The sequence below is a fragment of the Homo sapiens genome, chromosome 9, assembly GCF_000001405.40.
Source record: "Homo sapiens chromosome 9, GRCh38.p14 Primary Assembly".
NCBI classification, from domain to species: Eukaryota; Metazoa; Chordata; class Mammalia; order Primates; family Hominidae; genus Homo; species Homo sapiens.
Window position 1 is genome coordinate 124,249,447 of NC_000009.12, and position 22,360 is coordinate 124,271,806.

Consider the following 22,360-nt stretch of genomic DNA (forward strand, 5'->3'; position numbering starts at 1 on the left):
CCCAGTGGACTCAGTTCATTTATTCCCCTATCCCGTCATGCTTGGTAGCACAGGGAAAATAGGAACACAGATTCTGAGCCTGTCAGACATCCTGCTACAAAGTGTGCTCAAGCCAGGTGCAGTGGCTCATGCCTGTAATCCCAACACTTTGGGAGGCTGAGGTAGGTGGATTGCTTGAGCTCAGGAGTTAGAGACCAGCCTGGCAACATGGCGAAGCCTCATCTCTACAAAATATACCAAAATATACTGGGCGTGGTGCTCACATCTGTAATCGCAGACTTTGGGAGGCAGAAGCGGGTGGATCACCTGAGGTTGGGAGTTTGAGACCAGCCTGGCCAACGTAGCAAAACCTGTTTCTACTAAAAATACAAAAATTGGCTGCGTGTGGTGGCACACACCTGTAATCCCAGCTACTTGGGAGGCTGAGGCAGGAGGATCGCTTGAACCCGGGAGGCAGAGGTTGCAGTGAGCCAAGATCATGCCACTGCACTCCAGCCTGGACAACAGAGCAAGACTCTGTCTTAAAAAAAAAAATTAGCTGGGTGTGCTGGTACATGCCTGTAGTCCCAGCTACTTGGGAGGCTGAAGTGGGAGGATTGCTTGAGCCTGAGAGGTTGAGGCTGCAGTGAGCTATGATCACGCCACTGCACTCCAGCCTGGCAATAGAGTGAGACCCTGTCTCAAAAAACAAACAAACAAAACAAAACAACAAAGTGTGTTTGAGACAAACTGGTTAATCTCTCTGAGCATCAGTTTTCTCCTGTGCATGTTTTCTCACCTGAGACATGGATACTCACATCAGAGAGCTGGTGCTGGTGCTACCTACATGCAGGACTCAGTGCCTGAATGAGTGAGAGGCTGTTTGTTCCTGTATTTAGTCACCTGCCTGTAATTGTTTCATGTGACATGAAATTCAGGGTGGCCATATGATTTATTATCTGATCCGGGCCACTTGTGAGTGTGAAAAGGGGCACTGTTTTTTTTGTTTGTTTGTCGTTTTGGGTTTTTTTTTTTTTTTTGAGATGGAGTCTCGCTCTGTCACCCAGGCTGGAGTGCCGTGGCATGATCTCAGTTCACTGTGACCTCTGCCTCCCGGGTTCAAGCGATTCTCCTGCCTCAGCCTCCCGAGTAGCTGGGATGACAGGCACGTGCCACCACGCCCAGATAATTTTTGTATTTTTAGTAGAGACGGGGTTTCACCTTGTTGGCCAGGCTGGTCTTGAACTCCTAACCTCAGGTGATCCACCTGACTTGGCCTCCCAAAGTCCTGGGATTACAGGTGTGAGCCACCGCACCCAGCCAGGGGGTACTATTATTAATTATGCCAGGACAGTAGGCATCACCCAGGACCATCCTGCAGGCACAGGTGATTCTTTGTTGGGAGAGAGTTCCAGTTTTCCCAGAAGGATTCATTCGCTCTTGTCATCCAGGTGCGATTATTGACAGCAACCCCTTTCCCTCTGCAAGTGTCTTGCTTTGGATGATCAACTTTAGGGTCACCTTGGGTGTCTGCAAAGGCCACTGCGTTGGGGGATTCATTTTTTACATTATACAAAATGGGGGTGTCTTGTCTGCTGGGCTCTTTGCCACATACTGATGTCTGGGTGTCCCGCCAAGAACTTCCAGGAGAGTTTAAGCAGTTAAGTCACATTTTTAGGAGCAGCAAACCCTGCTGGCTGCAGAAGGAGTTGGGACCCTCTCCACCTCCTCCCCAGCCCTGCCACCACTCCCTGTGTGACCCCGGGCCACTTCCTGCCTAGCACAATGTGGGGATGGGTCTCCAAGAGTCCTGTCAACCTTGACCTTCTAAGATTTCCTGTTACCCGATGACCCTGGGGAATTTCAGTAAAAATTGGGATGCAAGAAACATCACACCATCATATGGCTCACTGGTCACACCATGAATCCTAGGTCTTTCCTGTGCCAGGCTCTGGGCAGCTGCTGGAAGCCAAGGCATATCCATCAACACTCCTGCTTCATGGGAGGAGAGAGACGAAGCCAGCAACAGATCGGCCTATTCAACTCAGCATCAGGAGAGAACAGGTGCCAGAAAGCAAGCGGGGATAGAGTCCCAGTGTACTGTGAGCTTGCAAAACACCTTCAAAGGCCAAAATCACATTCCCCCAATACCCCATTGCCATGTCTGTTGCCTCTCAGCAGCCAGAAACTCCTACTCTCTTCCTGAGGAGCACAATGATTTTGACAGTTTCTTTGGGCGACTGACATCGCACCAACTCCTTTGTGATTTTAGTATTCGTGGTCTCTGAGTCTGTATCCTCATCTGTACAATGGGCAACAATCTCTACCTCAAAGTGCAGTTGAGAGTATCAGGTAAGGGAACAGACAGGAAATGCAGTTCATATGCAGTTCATGGTGCTCCCTGCAGGCCGTAGGATTTGAGTCTGCTAGTTGAAACAGCAGATATTAGAGCGGGTGGTAGAGGGAAGTTCAGGGAGGTGCGGGGAGGTGGGAAATCAGAGAGTACATTTCTGCCTCTTGATGGCTGTGTGGCCTTGAGCAAGTCCCATCTGTAAAGTGAGGGTGGGAATGATAATCCTTGATAACTTCTTTTTTTTCCACATTCCAGAAACCACCTGGGGAGTGGGGTCTCCAACCGTGTCGGGCGAGGACTCAGAGTTGGCAGCAGTCACTGCCAAAGGCAGGAGGAGATAACCAGTTAGCAGGCCTGTCACAAGATCAGCAACGCATGAAAGACAAAATGCTTCCCTGCGGCAGGAAGAGCCGACGCTTCCCTGCGGCAGGAAGAGCCGATGACACACTGCACTTAAAGTATTCCTCCAAGCCCCACCTCATTCTTCCCAGATCCTCTAGCCTTGGAGCACAGCCTCCAACTCTTCACTGAGCATTTTCAGGAGTACAATCTCAGGCGACTACCCCAATCCTGCAAGAGAGGCTGCCTGCCCCCCTTTGACAGATGAGGAAACTGAGGCCCACAGTGGGGAAATGGATGGCAGGAACTTGAACTGCAGAGAAGAGGCAGACTGAGTTTTCAAGTCTCAAAAGAACCTATGTCTGGACTCTTAAAACAACTCTACAGATGCCTGGAGCAGAGAGTTTTAAAAATTAGCTCCAAAGCTAACCTCATATACAGGCATGGGGACCCGTGGAGAGAGTACTCTTCTCTTCCTCTCCAATGTTCCTGTCCCCAACCAGACCATAAAATCTTGAGGGCAGGGGCCATGGCTGAAACTTCTGTTCTCTCCCACAATACTTAGAACAGTACACAGAGTGTTTGCTCTATGCGGATTAAACAGAGCAGATGCTTGCTGTATGTGGAATTTTTGTGTGTGTGTGTGAGACAGACTCTCACTCTGTCGCCCAGGCTGGAGTGCAATGGTGCAGTCTCGGGCTCACTGCAACCTCTGCCTCCTGGGTTCAAGCGATTCTTCTGTCTCAGCCTCCCGAGTAGCTGCGATTACAGCTGCCCGCCACCACCCCCAGCTAATTTTTGTATTTTTAGTAGAGACAAGGTTTCACTATGTTGGCCAGGCTGGTCTTGAACTCCTGACCTCAGGTGATCCACCCACCCTGGCCTCTCAACGTGCTGGGATTACAGGCGTGAGCCACCTCGCCCAGCCTCTATGTGAATTAAATGCAAATCGTTTGGAATACTATGCAGTCATATAAAAGGAAGCAGTTTTTCTGGAGCCAACAGGAAATGGTCTCCAAGAAGTGAAGAAAACATAAGATACACAATAGTGTAGATTGTATGCTATTATATGAGCAAAAAATAAGAAGAAATACATATACATTCACATACACACGACCATATATACGTGCATACATATATACACACCCACACAAAACACACTGTCTAGGACAGCATATATTCGGCAACGTTGGCTCCCTCCAGGGATAAGAACCAGGTGGCTGGGAGGTAGGGGTAGAAAGGACACTTTTCACTTTGTCCCCTTCTGTGCCTTTTGAATTTTGAACTGTGGGCAAGTATTATCTATTCAAGCAACAAATTAAACATTTTTTAAGTTAAATAACAAAAAATGAGCCAGCTACTTTATAAAGTGAGCCATATGATGATGTGATGACTCCTACATCCCTATCCTGACCGAAATTCCCCCGGGTCATCAAGTAACAGGAAATCTTAGAAGGTCAAGGTTGACAGGACTCTTGGAGACCCATCCCCACATTGTGCTAGGCAGGAAGTGGCCCGGGGTCACACAGGGAGTGGTGGCAGGGCTGGGGAGGAGGTGGAGAGGGTCCCAACTCCTTCTGCAGCCAGCAGGGTTTGCTGCTCCTAAAAATGTGACTTAACTGCTTAAACTCTCCTGGAAGTTCTTGGTGGGACACCCAGACATCAGTATGTGGCGAAGAGCCCAGCAGACAAGACACCCCCATTTTGTATAATGTAAAAAATGAATCCCCCAACGCAGTGGCCTTTGCAGACACCCAAGGTGACCCTAAAGTTGATCATCCAAAGCAAGACACTTGCAGAGGGAAAGGGGTTGCTGTCAATAATCGCACCCGGATGACAAGAGCGAATGAATCCTTCTGGGAAAATTGGAACTCACCCCCTACAAAAAATCCCATTACCGGGAAGATGGCAAGAAGATATTTTGTAACAAAGGAACTTCAAAGGAACATGGCCTGATTCTAAGTTCTTCTTGCCTCTCCTCTCTCCCCCATTACCCCCTCCCCCAATACTAACAACAATAAAGGACTTGAGTTAACCTGGATTCAAATCCTGGCTATTTTCTGAGCCTCAGTTTCTTCATCTATAAAACATAAATCATGACCCCTATCTCAAGGGATGCTATAAGAATTAACTGTCTCTTACAGAGCCAGATGCAGAGAAGGTGCCCGGCAAGCGGTAGTTTCTCTTCCCTTCGTGCAGAGAAATAATGAAACAACACATACTGAATCCTGAAACTCTTTGGGGGTGAACGGAGACAGACTTTCTCCCAGACCAGTTGAACAACGCCTCGGTGGGCAGAAGTGTGAGGCAACGTGTGCAGGGAGACGCTCATCCTAATTCTGGGTGTCATTTTGCAAAGCACTGCTTCACGATGACTCATTTTGGGACTCCCTAAAAACTCCTTTGAGTTAAAAACAAAAGTTGAGTGGGATTCAGCTTGCATTGTACCTTATCACTCTACTGTGCCCTCGTCAGTGTATCAGAGTACTGCAGGGAATTCAAGAATCTCTGAGCAGGCTAACCCTGATATTTGCCCCATAGTGTCACCAGGAGCTGGGACCATCTGCACAGGGCCCAGGACAGAGGGAAAGAAGTGGCCATGAGGGATGGAGGAGGAGGAAGGCCAGGAAAATGGGGTGCATGGGCCTCCCCTACCCTGCTCCCATCCAAGGGGGAGGGGGACCCCCAATGCAAAAGCACTCCTGGGTCCTCCTACCTATCCCTGCTTTATTTCTCCATCAAACTTTTTTTTTTTTTTTTTGAAACAGAGTCTTGCTCTGTTGTCCAGGCTGGAATGCAGTGACATGATCTCAGTTCGCTGCAACCTCAGCCTCCTGGGGTCAAGCAATTCTCCAGCCTCAGCCTCCCGAGCAGCTGGGATTATAGGCACGTGCCACCATGCCCAGCTAATTTTTTTATTTTTAGTAGAGATGGGGTTTCGCCATGTTGGCCAGGCTGGTCTTAAAGTCCTGACCTCAGGTGATCCACCACCTCGGCCTCCCAAAGTGCTGGGATTACAGGGTGAGCCACTGCGCCTGGTCTCCACCAAACTTCTTATCTTTGAAATGCCAGACATTCACAGTGTCTTCCTCCCATCCCACTCTCCCACCTTGGCTGAAGCCCCAAGAGAGTCAGAGCTAGATTTTTGTTCACTCCTGTATCCCAGGACAAGGCTTCTTTATTCCCCTAACACTCAGCCTGCCTGCAGCCAGACCTACCTCTGTTGATTATCATTGGCTGTGTGACCTGGGACAGATTGCTTGACCTCTCTGAGCCTCGGTTTCCTAACTGGAAAATGAGGACATCACAAGTATCTGTCATACGGGTTCTGTGAAGCTGGGGAAGGGCTTTGCAAGCAGTAAAGTCTTACATAGATATTGTGTGTTGGGGGTGGGGGCAGTCCTTTCCTCCCAGTGGCCTGGTGCGGCTCTCAAAGTTTCCTTCAAAAGGGAGTTTCTGGTTCTTGCTCTGTAGCTTAACTGAATAGCTGCCAGAACATGGGACCTGCCCTCCACACAGTGGGCCCCTACTGACTTCTCCCACTCCCTCATTCAGGCCTCTGCTCAGATGTCACCTCATCAGAAAGGCCTTCTTCCAGCACCCCCTATAAAAAAGCACCCCTGGGTCCTCCTACCCTTCCGAGTTATTTCTCCACCAAACTTCTTTTTTTTTTTTTTTTGGAGACAGAGTCTCGCTCTGTCACTGAGGCTGGAGTGTAGTGGCGCGATCTCGGCTCACTGCAAACTTCGCCTCCCGGGTTCACGCCATTCTCCTGCCTCAGCCTCCCAAGTAGCTGGGACTACAGGCGCCTGCCACCATGCCCGGCTATTTTTTTGTATTTTTAGTAGAGACAGGGTTTCACCGTGTTATCCAGGATGGTCTCGATCTCCTGACCTTGTGATCCGCCTGCGTCGGCCTCCCAAAGTGCTGGGATTACAGGCGTGAGCCACCGCGCCCGGCCCAAACTTCTTATCCTTGAAATGGCAGATATTCAGTGTCTTCCTCCCACCCCATCCCTCCCCCTTGACTGAAGCCCCAAGAAAGGGCCATATTTTGTTCACTCCTTTATCCCAGTGCCTAGAAAAGTACCTGGCCCATGGAAGGTGCTCATAGATGTGTCGGGTGAACCAATGACTGAACTAATGTTTGCTGCATGAATATGGCCAGTATCACAAATCCTCTAGTAACACTGCAATACGCTGTCTCAGAACTTCGATTTCTTTCTATTATTTGTTGCAGTGTTTATTTCTTCTATTTAACTTTTCAATCTGTCTGACATTTATTGTGGTGTATATCATGGGAGGCAAGGCTGTAAACAGATCTCCAGCTAAACGGCTAAACAATTTGCAGAACAATCCATTTCCTCCCCATTGGTTTGTGATGTCTGCATTTTCATCCACAAGAGCTGGGACCAGGCCCGCTCCTGTGGGCCAGCTGCTGCCTCGTCTGCCCTCTTGTTCCAGAAGCCCAGGGCTATGCTGTTCCTGAGGCAGGGCTGCCTAGTGATTGGCCACACAGGCACTGGAATTAGACAATCTGCCGTGCACTTTCCAGCTCAACCACTTACCATCTGGGTGACTTTGAACAAAAGAATTTGCTTTTTATTGTTGTTGTCCAGGTTGGAGTGCAGTGGTGCGATCATAGCTCACTGCAGCTGCTAACTCCTATGCTCAAGAGACCCTCCCGCCTCAGCGTCCCGAGTAGCTGGGACTGCAGGCAGGCACTACCACACCCAGCTAATTCTTACATTTTTCTGTAGACATGGGGTTTTGCTATATTGCCCAGGCTGGCCTCAAACTCCCAGCCTCAAGGCATCCTCCCACCTCAGCCTCCCATAGTACTGGGATTACAGGTGTGAGCCACCGCACCCAGCCTGAAATTTCATTTCTAAGCCTCAAAGCCCATCTGTAAAATGGGCACAAGGGTAACGTTGGCACACGTGGTGGACGCTCCGTTGGTGTCATTATTACAGATCACGGCCAGTTGAAGCACTTCCACTCATTTGGCAAACAGAAGCCAGACGGGCATTCACCCTGTGCCCAGTACAGTGCTGCGCCCAAGCAGGCAGTCAGTGTCCCTGGCTCCAGCCCTCCTGGGGTGCAGCACAGTTTTGAATGTGGAGGGGAGGCAGCAGGGGTGGAAACAGCCCAGCCAGGAGCGGCCGCTCTCGGTGCGGGGAGGAGGTGAAGTGAGAACTGAGCTGCTTGGGTCTCAGGGAGGCTCTGACTTCTAGAGGGGGCGTTCAACATTCTTTAGTGGGGACTTTTACTACTTCCAGAAACCTCTGCACATTGGCTCTTGCTGGTCCCCCGGGGGCCACAGGAAGTGGGAGCTCCAGATGAAGAGTCGCTGGCACTTTGAGGGCAGGGGGCAGGGCCTTCCCCTCATCGGAATACTCTTGGAGCCTACTTCAGTGCCTGCATTCAGCTGGTGCACAATAAGTGCTTGTTACTGTGCCAATTTCAGTATGACTAGGGCTGTGGTAGGAGCAATGCTAGGCGATGGGGAATCCGAAGACGCACAGGAGTCCAAGGGTTGGCTGACTGCAGACCCTCATCATAAGTCTAGAGCCGGAGAAGATGGGGAGACGCCGGCCTGCGCCCTGTGAGTCTGGGCCTCAGTCTTCCCATCTCTGAAATGGGGAAGGGGTTCCTCGGCCGAGCGGATCGGCCGCAGAACTCGGCGGAGTCGAGGGGTCCAGGCCCAGGAAGGACGCCGCCGGGGCGCCCCCCGCCCCTCAAGCTTGCGTGGCGGCAGCGCGCACGAGCGCTGGGGGCGGCGCGGCCCCGCGGCGGGGAGGGGCGGGCGCGCGGGCGCGCGGGCCCGCGCAGGCGGTGGCGGCGGCGGCGGAACCGAGCTGACGGGCGTGCGGCCGCTGCGCCGCAAACTCGTGTGGGACGCACCGCTCCAGCCGCCCGCGGGCCAGCGCACCGGTCCCCCAGCGGCAGCCGAGCCCGCCCGCGCGCCGGTGAGTCGCCTGGGGCTGGGGCCGGGCCGGTGGGGCCCCGCGGCCCGGAGAAGGGCGGGGGCCGGGCGGCGGGGCCGTCACCCCCAGCCGGGCCGAGGGCGGGCGCGCGCCCACGGCTCCGCGGGGGAGAGCGGGAGGCGGGCGCGAGTGTGGCCGCGCGGGGCTGAGCGTGTCGGCGGCCGGGCGGGCGGGGGCGGCGTGTCCGCGTGTCCCGGGGTGTGCGCGTCCCCGGCGGGTGTGCGTGTGCACCCCGGAGCGTCTGGTGGCGTTGTTGGGGTGAGTGCGTGCGGGGACGCGGGCATGGCTCCCCGCTACCCACTTCCCGAGTGGGGACGACGGGCGGAGGAGTGTGCCGGGCGCCGCAGGGAGTACGTGCGGGTCTCAGGGAGTGTGTGTGTGCACGTGTGTGCATTCCAAAGTGATTTGTGTGCAAGCACATGCGTGAGCCTAGAAGGGCGAAAGTATGCCTGTGTGGGTGTGAGTATAACGAGTGTGCAGGGCCGTGCGAGCGTGTTTATTACTGAGGTTGAGGGGCCGGCCCCCTTTGCGCCCACCAGGCCTTTGCACAGTGATGGCCCCCGAGCCAGGGAGCCCGTGGAGAGAGAAGCGGCCTGGCATGGGCTGGGGGTCGGGGCTGGGCCTGATCCGGTGAACCAGGGGCCAGGAGGGCAGACTCAGAGCCTGGCTGGGCCTGACAGAGGCAAAGGTCTTAGAGCCAGGCTGCGGCAGGGCCACTGGCAGGACCCTCTCTGCATACACAGGCTGGGCGAGCGGAGGCTGTGGTGGGCCCCTCGGCCGGGCACCCGAGGACGTGTGTTTTCCTAAATATCCTCCAGGCTCTCCTGTCTTTGTTCTTGTCTCTCTCCAGCCAGGCCTGGGGGGCTGACCCTAGACTTGCCTGTGTATGTGGGGGCCTCTCTGCCTGCCCTGCTAAGTAGACGGATCTTTTGATTTATTTATACCTCTCCTAGGCTCCAAGTGTGAATCCCAGGACAGTAACAAATTGATCACAGCGGGCTTGGGACACCAGCTTCCGAGGTCTGTCCTTGCAGTTTTGACTGACAGGCTTTTGTGTGTGTGCGTGCTCTCTAACTGTTGAAAATCTTTGCAGCTGAAAGTCTTAATTGCTTTAAGGCAAACTTTAGAAATTCCAGAGCTCCCTAGTTGGTCTGACTTTTCCAAATTCAGCTTGCCTTTTTTGGGGGAAAATGTCGCCTTAGTTTGGTGTACAGTACGTGCAGGCAGGTCTTGGAGGCACGTTTAAAAACCCTGTCGTTAATGGAAGAAGAATTTCATTGAAAGGGACGCAGAGCCGTCTGGAAGCGCCTGCCCCGGACTCAGCGAGTTTGGACTCAGCGAGTTTGAGCTTACCGAATGAACTTTGGACGTCTTCTTTTAGCAAACAAAACCTGGAAGGAAGCAAAAAAGACCCACATTCTTTTTCTTTTTTCTCCTGAAAATGAAAAAAAGAAAACACCTTCTGGGTTTGCTGGAAATGCCCCCTCTCCTTCCCCCATCAAGGCCAAGCCCTCGCTGCGTCCCCCACCCCCAAATAAAATATGCCTGTGGGGAGCCGTGGAATGAGTCACTCCCTGGCAGAGAGCCTGACGGGCAAACATTTGGGAAGGTTCTTGCCTAACTTCCCAGAAGAAAAGGCCCAGGATTTAAAATGGTCCCTGTGGTTTGTCAGCCTCTGCTGTCCCGTCTGCTTCGGAAATGACTAAAAAGTAGTTTGTATCTCCACAAAATAAAGTCTCAGACTGAAGGCCTTAGACCCAGGTTGGTCTGGATTTAGAGCTGTTTGGGTTTCCAGAAATGGAGCGCCTGGCTTTAACTGGTGGCATTTCTGGTGGGTTTGAACAAGGGCAGAGGAGGGAAATGGGGAGGAAGTTCCCTTTTGCGGAGCAGAAGGGGCTGTGTGCTGGGAGCCGTTCTAGGGGGTGTGAATCTCCCGTTGGTCTTCTGTGACAGAAAATGCTTTTGGTTTTGTGCACAAGGAAACTGAGGCACACGGGGGTCAAGCCTGTGTCCTGGGGCAGCTGAGAGGAGGTGGGGGCAGAATCCGAAGTCACCTGCCCAGCCTCACAGCCTTTCCTCTTTCCATTGCACTTGGGATATGGTATTTGACTGGCTAAGGTGCACAGACCTAGTGCTGAGTACTTTAGCACACATCCGTTCATTTTCTGCTCATCGTAGATAGGGTTTATTATCCCCATTTCACAAATGATAAAACTGAGGTTCAGAGACATGACTTGCATAATTTCATTAAAGTAGCACCACGATAGATGGTCCCCATTTATTTTTATTTATTTATTTATTTATTTTTGAGACAGAGTCTCACTCTGTTGCCCAGGCTGGAGTACAGTGGCGCAATCTCAGCTCCCTGCACCCTCTGCCTCCTGGGTTCAAGTGAGCCTCCTGCCTCAGCCTCCTCCTGAGTAGCTGGGATTATAGGCAGGTGCCACCACGCCCAGATAATTTTTGTATTTTTAGTAGAGATGGGGTTTCACTGTGTTGGCCAGCCAGGCTGGTCTCGAACTCCTGACCTCAGGTGATCCGCCCGCCTTGGCCTCCCAAAGTGCTGGAATTACAGGCATGAGCCACCATGCCCGGCCATGTCCCCATTTACTGAGGATATACTGTGTGCTAGGTCTGGTGCTGTATTTTACCCAGTCCACTCACCAACACTAAGATGGAAGCTGTCACGATGCCCATTTACAGATGAGGAAACTGGGGCACAGAGAGATGAGAGAATGCGCCAAAGACCATGTGCTAATACGCAGCAGAGCTGGATTTGAACCCAGGCTTGTCTGAGCAGAGCCCATGGTCTCCCCACTGTACTAGGAAGGTAGCAGGCACTGTGGGCTGGATGCCTGGCCTGTGCTGAGGTTCAGTGTCGTTTTCCTGATCTTACAGAGAGGGAGGTTAAGTAACTTGGGCAGGGTCATAAACCCACAAATGGCAGAGTCGGGATTCGAACCCATGTCTCTGATTCCAGAGTTCCTCACCTTAAACCACATCTGGCTGCCTTTGTCGTGCTTTGCTCCTGTTGCATGCTGCAAAGCCAAGTAGGTTAAGACAGGCTAGGTTCCTGCAGGGCTGGGTTGCCCGAGACCTGGGAGAGGTCTTCCAGAAGGCACTGCTGGCCTTCCTCGCCCAGGGCCAGAGCTACTGGAGAGAAAGGGCTGCTGTTCACATTTTTTCTTTTCTTTAAGTGCCCCAGATACTTTTCATAAGGGAAGTGTCAAAACAATTGTCAAAAGGAGAAGAATATTTCCTTCCTCTTCTCAGGCTAGACCAAGCAAGGGAGTTGGAGGGTGGAGAGTGGAGGGACCTGGTGAATCATCCAAGATTAAATACGGGCAGGCACTGCCAGGCTTGTGTGGAGATGAGGCTGGGACACTGTTCGCAGGAAGAGTCCGGTGTTCTGGCCCCCTGATGTCACCTTCACGGGCCTGACTCACAGTCCTAAATATCTGACAGCGAGATCGCTTGTAGGTAGGCTTCTTGTCACTTGTCATTTAAGTCCCCTGCCTGCCTTTTTTCCCTGCTCATTTCCATTTCGATCACGGCTTCTACTACATGTGCTTGAAATGAATGTTGTGTGTGAGGACCTGTGTGGTTTGGGCCATGTTGTGCCCCCCTGCCAGTGTCCTTCGGTGTTGAAAGGAAAAGGTATTTCTCTCCCTTCCATGTATGTTCTGCAAATTGACGAACATTTGCAAATTGCTTTGAGATGCGTTAATTTAAGGTGTGAAATAATAGATCTTGTGCGAAGGCTCAGCCACATTTCTGGCATTGATGGATTTTTCTCCCGTCTGGCCTGTGATTTGGGGAGGTAAAAATAGTCCTTTTTTCCACATTTTTATCTTTTTTTTTTTTTGCTGACATCATTCTTAGGAAGTGGTGTGCACATGCCGTGGAACTTTACATGGAACATGGAGCTCTGGGGAGCAGGAGTGCTCTTGGAGTGAGGGGTGGTCTGCGGTGGCCCAGGCACCCCCTGGCTGTCCGTGAAATGGCTTTGAAATGAGCAGGCACTGTTGAGGGCCTCAGTGGCTTTTTGGTATTTGGCTGTCTTTTCACTTATGACTCTTGGGTAATGGCAAGATAACTTTTGGGGAAAATGTTAGTTTAAAAAGAAAAAAAATCAGGCCAGCACTTTCACTCATTCCTGTCTGAGCTGGTCCCTTCCTTTGGCCAAAGCTGAACTAAACCAATGGCCTTCTCAGACTCGACTTCCAGACAGAGGAGCCGACATTGGGGCAAATCAGTTGGTGGTGTAATTTCCTGTGATGTTAACTTTGGGAACTTGAACTTGGAGTGGGAGCTAGCATTTTGACATGTGTCCCTCTAACAGGACTTGCTTGTGTGGAAACAGACCCCCACATACATGGCTGCGCCATTGTCTCCAATTCTGGATTTTTCCACAGATGACTTCTCGGGTGATCTGGTGGTAAAGGCACAGGTCTTCTAGCCAGGCCTTCTTGGCCTCCAGCAAGGGCAGGATCACAGCACCCCACCAGACCTGACTGGCCACCACCGCTGTAGCTGTGGCTGGGCGAGTGGGGGGGCCATGGGAATTGAAAGATGGGGTGGCCGAGATCTGAAATGCATTCAGTTGCAGTGGCCTGGATCTGCACGGAGCCGTTCTTTCTTTCTCTTAGACATCTGCATGGTGGTGACCTCATAGAATTCTAAGAAAAAAGGGGCTTTATGTAGGAATTCCATAGAGTGTGAAGGAATTTGGACAGGGGAAGGGGGAGGGAAGTTGCCATTCAGAGCCTGCAGTGCCTGCATTTTCCCCGAATTGTTTAACCCTCATGCTTCAGAATTAGGCTGAGGCTTGCGGGGTGGGTCATGTTGACCTGGGTGAACAGAGATCCCTTTAAGAAGAACTTCTCCATGTTCCAGAGGCGCGTTCTTACTGCAGGTGAGTGGCAGTATGGGAATTAGTCCACAGGCCCCTTCTCGAATGCCTGCCCTCTCTTGTTCCTTGTCCTCAACGTCTTTGAAACTTGGGCTTGTTGGGAAGACACCTGCAAAAGGATGGATGCACATGACCTTCAGCTCTAATGAATCAAGCTGCTGATGAGGAATTCACTGGGCTCCCAATCCAGAGAGCTTCGCACACACCCACTGGGGTTGAGACGAGCACTGGGTTTATTTATTGTGGACTTTTGGAGTCTGAAGGACTCTTGCCACCCATCTGTTTCACGGAACAGAACCTGAGGCTCAGAGGGAGCAAGGCGCTCCCCCACAGCCGCATTGAGAGCCTGAGCCTGGGCACCCGATGGAGTGAATGAGGCTGGAGTCCCAGACCTGCCTCTCATGAGCACGTCGCCCACTGAGCCTCAGCGTCATCATCTGGAAAACAGGGATAATATTATGACCTCAGAAGCTTCGGGGGAGGAAGTAAGTGAAATAATGCATTTCAGATGCTCAGCGCCTTTTAAGTGCTTGATGCTCATTCCCCAAGATTACATGAGAGACATGGAAAATCTTTAATGACCAAGGACCCACCCAGGGTCACTCAGCCGGGACCCTTGGTCCGTGGCCCAGAGTGTCTCCAGTGCCCCTGCATTGAGGCCCTAAACAAGGCCAGAAGCAGGTGCCGGGGACCCCTCTGGATTCCACCAGAGCACCTTCCTAGGATCATGGCTCCCAAAACGGAAGGGAAGGAGACAGCGCAGTTTGCAAAGAGGCAGGATTTAAGCACCAGGGTGGCCCTGTGGCGCCTCAGGAAAATGTTTGCCTGTCAGTATCTGCTCTCGTTCCCACCTGTCCCCACAAAGCGAGGCCATAAGTCCTCGGCGTGGCATTGGAGGGTCTCTGAAGGCCCTGAGAGCTGTGTCAGCCACGGTGTGTTATGAAGCAAGGCAGATGTTTTGTTAATTATTTACACAGCGTCGGCCCCGCAGAGGACTGCGCTGACAGGAGCGGCTGTCACAGGCCTGGCCGTGGGGCAGAAGTGAGCAGCCGTCTTCCCCTGGCAGTCCTCCTGAAAAGGTCTGCATGGCAAGGCCTGAGGGAGTCCTGCACATTTTATGCCCCCGCCCCCCAAAGCCATTTGGGTTTCCCTTAAACTGGCTTGTTTTCCTGAGCCGGTGGAGAGATCCTTGTCCTCCGGAAGTGGCTATCGCTCTGGGGCGGCTTCTCTGCCAGCTCGTCACACCCTAGACCCAGCTGTAGTCTGTGTGGTGGGAGAGGGTGTCACCAGGCTCTGGAGGTCCACTCCTCTGTAGTCACCTCATGCAAGGAGGGCTTCACAGGGGCCCAGCCTCTACTCCCTCATCCGGAAAACGGGCCAGTAACACCAGGCACCAGCCCCGTGATCCTCAGGCACCCTTGGGGGTGATCTGCCTTAGAAATTCAACTTTAGGATTAGAATTCTGCTAAGAGGTACCATGTGACAAAAAAGGTAGTGTAAAAATCACAAAGACCAGGACAGGCTCATGCCTATAATCCCAGCACTTTGAGAGGCCGAGGCGGGCAGATCACTTGAGGTCAGGAGTTTGAGACCAGCCCAGCCAACATGGCAAAACCCCATCGCTACTAAAAATACGAAAAATTAGCTGGGCGTGGTGGTGGACACCTTTAATCCCAGCTACTCGGGAGCCTGAGGAGCCTGAGGCGTGAGAATCACTTGAACCTGGGAGACAGAGGCTGCAGTGAGCTGAGATTGTGCCACTGCACTCCAGCCTAGGCAACAGAGCGAGACTCTGTATCAAAAAAAAAAAAAAAAAAAAAAAAAGAGTTCTGCAAAGAATGGCACCTGGCATCAGAGCTTTCCCTGAAAGGCCACTAAGGATGAGGAACGTGAGCTCCGGGGAGGCGAAGGGGGCAAAGCCACCTGCCTGTTGCCTGTTTTACATAAGGAGGTTTTGCATAGGAGTCATTTTAAGATACATGAAGTAGCCAGAATAGATAAATCCACATAGACCTAAAGCAGATTGGTGGTTTCCAGGGCCTTTGGGGAGGGGAGACTGGGGAGCGACTGATTAAGGGACATGGGTTTTTATTGGGGTGACGCAGACGTTTTGGAACCGGATGAAGGTGGTGGTTGCACAACATTGTGATTGTAATACATCCCATCCAGCGGTTTGCTTTAAAGTGGTTAAATATATCTGAGAAAAATGTTAAACATAAAAGTTTTGGCCAGGCACGGTGGCTCACGCCTGTAATCCCAGCACTTTGGGAGGCCGAGGCAGGCGGATCACGAGCTCAGGAGTTTGAGACCAGCCTGACCAATATGGTGAAACCCCATCTCTACTAAAAATACAAAAATTAGCTGGGCGTGGTGGCGTGTGCCTGTAATCCCAGCTACTCAGGAGGCTGAGGCAGGAGAATCACTTGAACCCAGGAGGCGGAGGTTGCAGTGAGCCGAGATGGCGCCACTGCACTCCAGCTTGGGCAATAGAGTGAGACTCCGTCTCAAAAAAAAAAAGACAAGTTTGTCTTGCTTTAAAAAAAAAAATACCTCTCCTTTTACAGATGGCGACACTGAGGCCCAGAGAGACATCATGACCAGCCTCAGGTCCCACATGCAGCCTGCTGCTCTGTAGCCTAAATCAGATCACTGTCCCAGCTTTCAGGTCAAGGCTCTGGTTGTGACACCTGGGCCTGGACTGCGGGTGAAAAGTTTTGATGCAAAAACACAGACCGTCCATTGTCCTATGGGCTAAGTGGACTCCCTTCTGCTAACCAGAGATGCTTGTGCTGGCTGGTGTGTGGCACGTTATCTCATTCTTTCATGACGTATGTCCGGATGGAAGTCCTGGGTCAGGCATTGTGCTGGGAGCCCACACGAAGACCCTCTAATGGCCCCACCCATTGGCCTCTCACCACCTGGTGGGGACAGAGGCTGTCACAACCCCTTCTTAGGTGCTCTTGATCAATTTGCAGGTGGCATTTTTTGGGATGTAGTCTCTGGGGAAGTAGGAGAGCTTCCGGCAGTGAGGGGTGTTTGAACCCACCTGGAGGGAGACGTGGGGTTTGCCAGAGGGCTGAGAGGGCTGGGGTGAAGGGCAGGTAGACCCCAAGGTGGAGAGGCAGGTGGGGCCGGTGGGTGAGAGGTGGGGCTGTGGAACTTCCTCCTGCTTCTTTGGCCTTTGCTCCTGTCGGTAGATGGCCTTACCAGGCACTTACTGTGGGCCATGTTCTAATCTAACCCTTAACCTGAGGGAACTCACTTCATCCTCCCAGTGATGCCGTGATGTGGGTATCGTTCTGCCCATTTTATAGATGAGGAAACAGAGACCCAGAGAGTCCAGGATCTGTGGTGCTTGACGAGCATCAGCCTGAGTGCTGTGAGGACACCCACAGCATGGGGGTCTGAGCTGAAAATTGGAGGACAGAGGCTGCCCTCCGGAAGTGACCAGGATGTGCCCTCAGGAAGTGACCAGCTGCCCAGCTCAGGACCTGTGTGAGGGCCCCCAGGCAGCTGGAAGGAACAGTGTGCACCCAGGTACCATGCCAGGGCCCCTGAGCATCCGTCTTGTCATCGCATAGTTGTAACCTGCCTCACAGACTGAACATGCACTCTAGAAGGGGATGGGACTTGGTCTGTGGACCACAACAGTGTTCTCCATGGCCAGCATTGTGCCTGACACATAGGAGGAGCTCAATTAATATTTGTTGAGTGAATGGGAAGTTTTAAGTAGGCACGCGGCCGGATCCTTGGAGAATGTTTATATGGAGTGAACGAATCTGTTAGCAAACGTTCCTCACTCCCCTCAGTGGGCTGTGCAGGGCTGTATTGAGCTGAGCTGGCCCTTCCCTGGGAGAAGAGGTTTCTTAGAGAAATGCTCATCCTCGAATTATTCCAATGAGGAGGAACCTAAGCCCAGAAGGGCTCTACCTCCCAGAGTTACAGGCTCTCCTTCCTATGCCCCTTCCCTGCCGAGGCAGCTCCCACATGTCTGCATAGGAGGGCTTTGGGTTGGAATGGGTCAGTGCTGTGTCTTAAAGCTGCATTTTCTACCAAGCACACACTTTGTTTAGAGGGCATATCTTTTGGGGTTGCTTTGAGGAAAGGCTAACCAAGCCACCTCTGAGCACAGACATGACTTTTTGGCAAATGAGCAGGACCCCAGATTACACCCCATCTTAGAAAGTAGGAAACCCAGCATTGAAAGAGGAAAGATTCTGCAGCTGATGTGGCCTTGGCGGGCCACCAGCGTGGGTGCCCAGATGGCAGGATCACTGGGCACCACATGGCACACAGAAGAGAGCAAAGGAGAGGGAGTCCGCCCCTGGGCTTGGCAGGTCCGGTCGAGTCCGCCTGGATTCAGTTACAACAGGACCTCGAGTGGGCACGGCGTGCCGGACTGAGTCAGTGTGTGTACATTTCCTTTGTTCGTCTCCTCCGGGAATGTAGTGGCCTTTTGTGTGTGTTTTAAATGCCAGCCTCCTTACCTAACCCAAGAGGAAATGAGGACTGGGTTTTTGTCTGTGCAGACGCTGGGACAAGTGTGGGAGCCGCCTGCTCTTGGAGCCAGCCTAGTGGTGACAGCGTGGCATTTGGAAAACATTCTGTGGTTTTCTCCAAGGGGTGATGGGCACACCAGGTGCTGGGCCGCCCCTGAGCTGGCCACTGGGACCCTGAAATGAGGAAGCCCTGTGACCAGGTTTCATGATGCCATTCAGCAAGGGACGGCTGAGCACCACATGCCTTCTTGGCCCCTGGGGAAACACACAGGAATCAGATGAGGTCCCTGCCCCGTCTTCCTGGGGAAACATGCAGAGAAAATACTTGTACTCTGAGCTAACACCTTTCACTCGCACAGACCTTTATGGTGTTCTGTGTCTTCAGACATTGATCACCTGTAGGTGAGACACATCATGGCCCCACTTTCCAAACTCCCAAACGGGCTGTGATCTGTAGAAGTATTTAGTGCCATTCAGGGACAGGAGAGATGGTTTGGAAGATGCTGTCTGCTGTGCGAAGTCTCTGGATGCTCAAATGGCTTATGGGGTGGCATCTTTGAAATTACCCAGTCCTGAAAATTTCAGGACATATGGTCACTGTGATGTGCTAATGTTAGCAATTGAGATATTTAATGACCCAGAAAAACCCCTTTTCCTACCCAGTGCAGGTTACTGGAGAGCCTTTATTTCTCAGGAGGAGGGTCTTACACAGTGTAATTTGGACCAGCAGATAGGGAGTCATTATCCCTCATTCATTTATTAGCTAATTAAGTGGTTTATCTGGTCACACATTTACTCCTTCAATTGCCATTCATCCAGCACTGTTTGCTGATGTACCTGGCCTGGTGCTGGGTACTGGGGGTGGAATGAAACAGAACAAATATGACTGAGTCCCTACTGTGTGCCAGCCCATAGGGTGTGCTGTGTGCCACAGGTGAATGCATTCACTTCCCAGTGGACATTTAACAACCACCTACTGTGTGCAGACTCATGGAGATGCAGAAATGCAAATGGCACAGTCCGTAGTGGTTTGGACACTTGTGGTGTTTTGATGGGGTCTTTAGTCCTGGCTCTCTCTCTGCTTGCTGTGATATACCCAGTCAGCCACTGTTCACAGGCCACGTGGTGACGTCCCCAGAATGAACCAGAAACAATCCAGATGCCCCAGGAACCGACGTGAGAACAAGGCATCCCCTTCACACGTTGTGTCTCAGTTCAGCGTCTTGCCACCACCCAGCATTTTGAGACAGAATGTGAGATCGCGTGGTTGGCTAAATACATAAATATTTTATGTCTCGATATTCTGAAAATGAAGCCCAAATGCACAGAACTGCAGCACATCAGTGCTATAGATCATATGTTATAATAATCTGATGACATGTTGTTTAAATATTTATGGACTGATGCGACATGACAATGGGGGAGAGAGGAGGCTCGGAGCAGAGTCTCGGCAGATGCGGGAAGGAGGGAGCAGATTCCTGTGATCCCGAGAAGCGTCACAGGACACCTGGGTTTCTGATGTGATGTTTTGGGGTTTTATGACAAAAACAGTGGCTGACATTTATTGAGCGCTTGCCGAGTGCTGTACCCTTCACTGATACCATGTCATTGAATCATCACAGCATTCCCAGATGGTGGGGCTCTTATTAACCCCAAGTTACAGAGGGGAAACTGAAGCCCAGGGCAAGTCAGTGGTCCACCCCAGACCCCACAGCTAGTGAGTGGCCCAGGAGCAAATCCAGGCTGACCCCATTCTGCATTCTAGCTCTTAATTACTGTGCCGTGCTACTCTAGGGGTGACAGGTCATATCTGAAAACCCCCCACCCCTGCCTGGGTGACCCCTTGCTTGGTGCTAACTGGACTTTTTTTTTTTTTGAGATGGAGTTTCACTCTTGTCACCCAGGCTGGAGTGCAATGGCACGATCTTGGCTTACCGCAACCTCTGCCTCCCGGGTTCAAGCAATTCTCCTGCCGCAGCCTCCCGAGTAGCTGGGATTACAGGCACCCACCACCACGCCCGGCTAATTTTTTTTTGTATTTTTAGTAGAGATGGGTTTCACCATGTTGGCCAGGCTGGTCTCGAGTGATCCGCCTGCCTCGGTGGACTTTCTAAATCACAGGAAAGGAAGGTGATGTCTGTAAAATGTCGGATGGGATTGGAAGGCACAAGGAATGAATAGCTTAGGAGGGGCAGGGAGTCGTGTGGAAGGGCCACTGCAGCCCGGTGCCTGGCACATAGTAGGTGCTCAGGAAATGTGGTTCTTGAGCCTCTGCCCTTCTCTTTGTTGTTGGTTTTGCAGAGTCATTAAGGGAGTTTACTGCAGACTGTCCCCCATATAAGTGTCCTGTGGCCCCTGAGCCTTTGCCTCAGCCTCTCTCTCTCCCTGCAGTGCCCTGGGAGGAATCAACTGACAGCCCTTTCAGTCTCCCACAGTCCAGCCAGTTAAATCAAGGTGTTCCCCTTTTATAGAGGAGTCTCCTAGAGCCAACCGCAGCATCCCTGCCTTTGGGAGCCACCTGGAATGTGCCAGCTGCAGTAGCCGTTCCTTCCACGCCCCCCCCCCATGCTGTCTGTGGGGCTTGCCACTGAGTGCTCCATCTCCCCATGTGCTCCATCCCCCGGCATCTGCTGCCATTGGTCCTGCCTGTTGCGTTACTTCTCTGTGCCCTGGAGCCCCTCAAGCACAGAGGCCTCGAAAGGTTGATCAGACATCCTCAGCACCTGGAGCGGGGCCTGGCACACAAGACGGCAATGAACGGCCAACCCTAGAAGTTCACCCCACAAGACCTGCAGGGCGGGGGCTGAGTGTCCAAGAAGCCTCTTGGGAAGGGATGGTCTTAGACCTAGTGGTGTCTTCCCATTCTGCAGAGGCCTAGGGATGTCCCCAGGTCCCCAGAGTGGGAGGGGAAGGGTCAGAAGTCCATGGAAATAAAACACAGGGCCAGCTACAAAATTTGTGGGGCCCAGTGCAAAATGAAGATGCAAGTTCCCTTGTTCAAAAAGCAGTAAAAAAAAAACACAAAAGTTTTTTCCTTTCCTTTGCAATCTCTTTCCATCTGTCATGATGTTTTTTGTTTGCTATTTAATGTCTCACTCCCTGGACACAAGATACTTTCAGGGTGAGTGCAGACCTCACAGGTGTGGGCACACCTGCCCCCGACCCTCCTGCCTGCATCCGGGCCCCTGCTGCAGGTAACGGGTGGCAGAGGTTGCTGGGTGCGGGAGCAGGCAGCTGAATACCCGTCCTGGGGAGGCAGCTGAGACTCTGTGCTGCCAGCATGTGCTCCATTATTCCACCAGACTCCACTTAACACAGATTCAAAGATGACATGAAGCATTTCAGGACAGTGAAAGCACAGCATGAAGCCCTACGCTTGGGGCTCCCTTCTTAGGGCAGGGCCAGGTCACCTGGACATGAAGCCAGCCTGATGGGAGGGGCCATAGCACCCACACACACATTTCACACAGAGCAAGGGCCTTATGTTGGTTCTCTCCACAGAGCTGGGGCCAGATCTGATTTGAAGGGAAAGTTCTGTGTTAAGCACTGTCTGCAGACTGCTGGCCCAGCAGGTTAGTCGGCCAGCCAGGGGCTCTCCCTCTTCATCCGGAGCCTCTGGTGCCAAAGACACACCATGGTCAGCCCTCCCTGACTTAATCTCTCACACCATTGCCAGAGATTGTTGCAGTAACAAACCCAACCCCTCTGACTTCCGCTCCTTGAGTGACAAGGGTCAGAAATCGAGTGGCGCGGTTGCCAACCTTCTCACTCAGGAACAACGCCAAACACGTGGTGCCCCAGAGATCAGAGAGGGTGAGGAGCTTGGATTCCACCAGCTGTCACGCTGTTCCCAGCCCCAAAATGGGGAGGCTCAGCACCCACAGGGAGTGACGTCTGGTTACTCTGAAAACATGGACAAGGAGGCTCAGGTGAGGGGTACTTACTTAGTACCCACTGTGCACCGGAGACCCGGCCAAGTACTTTCCGTGTGTTGCCTTCGTTAATCCTCGTGACAACTTTGAGCTGATCCTGTTTTTCAGATGAAGTTAACTGAGGCTCAGAGAATGAAGCTGCCAGTCCAAAGCCATAAACCACACACTTTGGAAACTGAGATTTGAACCCAGGCCCGGCTGGCCCCAGAGTTAGTGCTCTTTGCACACGAATCCCAGGCACACTGGCTGGCTGAGGTCCCTCCCTGGCTGGGCCTCTTGCCCCCACCGTCTGCTGCATCTGCATCTGCAGGACAGGGGCCAGACCTCAGCGCTGCTGCCTGTCCACTCCTGCCCCTGAGC

The 22,360-nt window shown here is 52.3% G+C and overlaps 1 protein-coding gene and 2 long non-coding RNA genes across 14 annotated transcripts in view, besides 10 other annotated features; 2 read left to right on the forward strand and 1 right to left on the reverse strand.

The window, feature by feature from the left end:
• Nucleotides 2,744-3,038: a silencer, noted in NCBI's record as "tiled region #14990; HepG2 Repressive non-DNase unmatched - State 23:Low". NCBI's record gives its function as "represses a minimal TATA promoter and a strong SV40 promoter by Sharpr-MPRA in HepG2 cells {active_cell/tissue: HepG2}" and the evidence as "EXISTENCE:reporter gene assay evidence [ECO:0000049][PMID:27701403]".
• Nucleotides 4,775-5,154: an enhancer, noted in NCBI's record as "active region_28971". NCBI's record gives its function as "activates an Ori minimal core promoter by ATAC-STARR-seq in GM12878 lymphoblastoid cells {active_cell/tissue: GM12878}" and the evidence as "EXISTENCE:reporter gene assay evidence [ECO:0000049][PMID:35858748]".
• Nucleotides 5,165-5,254: an enhancer, noted in NCBI's record as "active region_28972". NCBI's record gives its function as "activates an Ori minimal core promoter by ATAC-STARR-seq in GM12878 lymphoblastoid cells {active_cell/tissue: GM12878}" and the evidence as "EXISTENCE:reporter gene assay evidence [ECO:0000049][PMID:35858748]".
• Nucleotides 5,285-5,374: an enhancer, noted in NCBI's record as "active region_28973". NCBI's record gives its function as "activates an Ori minimal core promoter by ATAC-STARR-seq in GM12878 lymphoblastoid cells {active_cell/tissue: GM12878}" and the evidence as "EXISTENCE:reporter gene assay evidence [ECO:0000049][PMID:35858748]".
• NEK6 (NIMA related kinase 6) overlaps nucleotides 8,160-22,360 on the forward strand; it is a 95,702-nt gene continuing 81,501 nt past the window's right edge. For 5 of the 12 annotated variants that reach the window (XR_007061234.1, XR_007061237.1, XM_047422652.1 and 2 more), the window contains exon 1: nucleotides 8,795-8,915. Coding sequence is in view for 2 of the 12 variants with exons in the window: in XM_047422653.1 (XP_047278609.1) it covers nucleotides 13,500-13,572 (73 nt within the window). In the remaining 10 variants the exon portion in view is untranslated. Of the gene's footprint in view, nucleotides 8,276-8,502; nucleotides 8,640-8,794; nucleotides 8,916-12,021; nucleotides 12,138-13,469; nucleotides 13,573-22,360 lie in introns of those variants that run through there. The other 7 variants (XR_007061235.1, NM_001166167.2, NM_001145001.3 and 4 more) reach the window with 5 other exon arrangements.
• Nucleotides 8,523-8,652: a silencer, noted in NCBI's record as "silent region_20260". NCBI's record gives its function as "represses an Ori minimal core promoter by ATAC-STARR-seq in GM12878 lymphoblastoid cells {active_cell/tissue: GM12878}" and the evidence as "EXISTENCE:reporter gene assay evidence [ECO:0000049][PMID:35858748]".
• Nucleotides 8,713-9,082: a silencer, noted in NCBI's record as "silent region_20261". NCBI's record gives its function as "represses an Ori minimal core promoter by ATAC-STARR-seq in GM12878 lymphoblastoid cells {active_cell/tissue: GM12878}" and the evidence as "EXISTENCE:reporter gene assay evidence [ECO:0000049][PMID:35858748]".
• Nucleotides 9,120-10,065: an enhancer, noted in NCBI's record as "H3K27ac hESC enhancer chr9:127020845-127021790 (GRCh37/hg19 assembly coordinates)". NCBI's record gives its function as "activates a minimal SCP1, AML or CMV promoter by ChIP-STARR-seq in naive H9 embryonic stem cells {active_cell/tissue: H9 hESC(naive)}" and the evidence as "EXISTENCE:reporter gene assay evidence [ECO:0000049][PMID:30033119]".
• LOC613206 (uncharacterized) lies at nucleotides 9,764-11,722 on the reverse strand. The gene is made up of 2 exons (NR_149024.1): nucleotides 11,648-11,722; nucleotides 9,764-10,048 (listed from the first exon to the last, which is right to left on the reverse strand). It is a non-coding gene; the product is annotated as an uncharacterized LOC613206 (long non-coding RNA).
• Nucleotides 13,579-21,094, forward strand: LOC124902268 (uncharacterized). Its single transcript, XR_007061765.1, has 2 exons — nucleotides 13,579-14,054; nucleotides 20,460-21,094. It is a non-coding gene; the product is annotated as an uncharacterized LOC124902268 (long non-coding RNA).
• Nucleotides 14,507-15,120: an enhancer, noted in NCBI's record as "H3K4me1 hESC enhancer chr9:127026232-127026845 (GRCh37/hg19 assembly coordinates)". NCBI's record gives its function as "activates a minimal SCP1, AML or CMV promoter by ChIP-STARR-seq in primed H9 embryonic stem cells {active_cell/tissue: H9 hESC(primed)}" and the evidence as "EXISTENCE:reporter gene assay evidence [ECO:0000049][PMID:30033119]".
• Nucleotides 14,552-14,641: an enhancer, noted in NCBI's record as "active region_28974". NCBI's record gives its function as "activates an Ori minimal core promoter by ATAC-STARR-seq in GM12878 lymphoblastoid cells {active_cell/tissue: GM12878}" and the evidence as "EXISTENCE:reporter gene assay evidence [ECO:0000049][PMID:35858748]".
• Nucleotides 15,622-15,681: a silencer, noted in NCBI's record as "silent region_20262". NCBI's record gives its function as "represses an Ori minimal core promoter by ATAC-STARR-seq in GM12878 lymphoblastoid cells {active_cell/tissue: GM12878}" and the evidence as "EXISTENCE:reporter gene assay evidence [ECO:0000049][PMID:35858748]".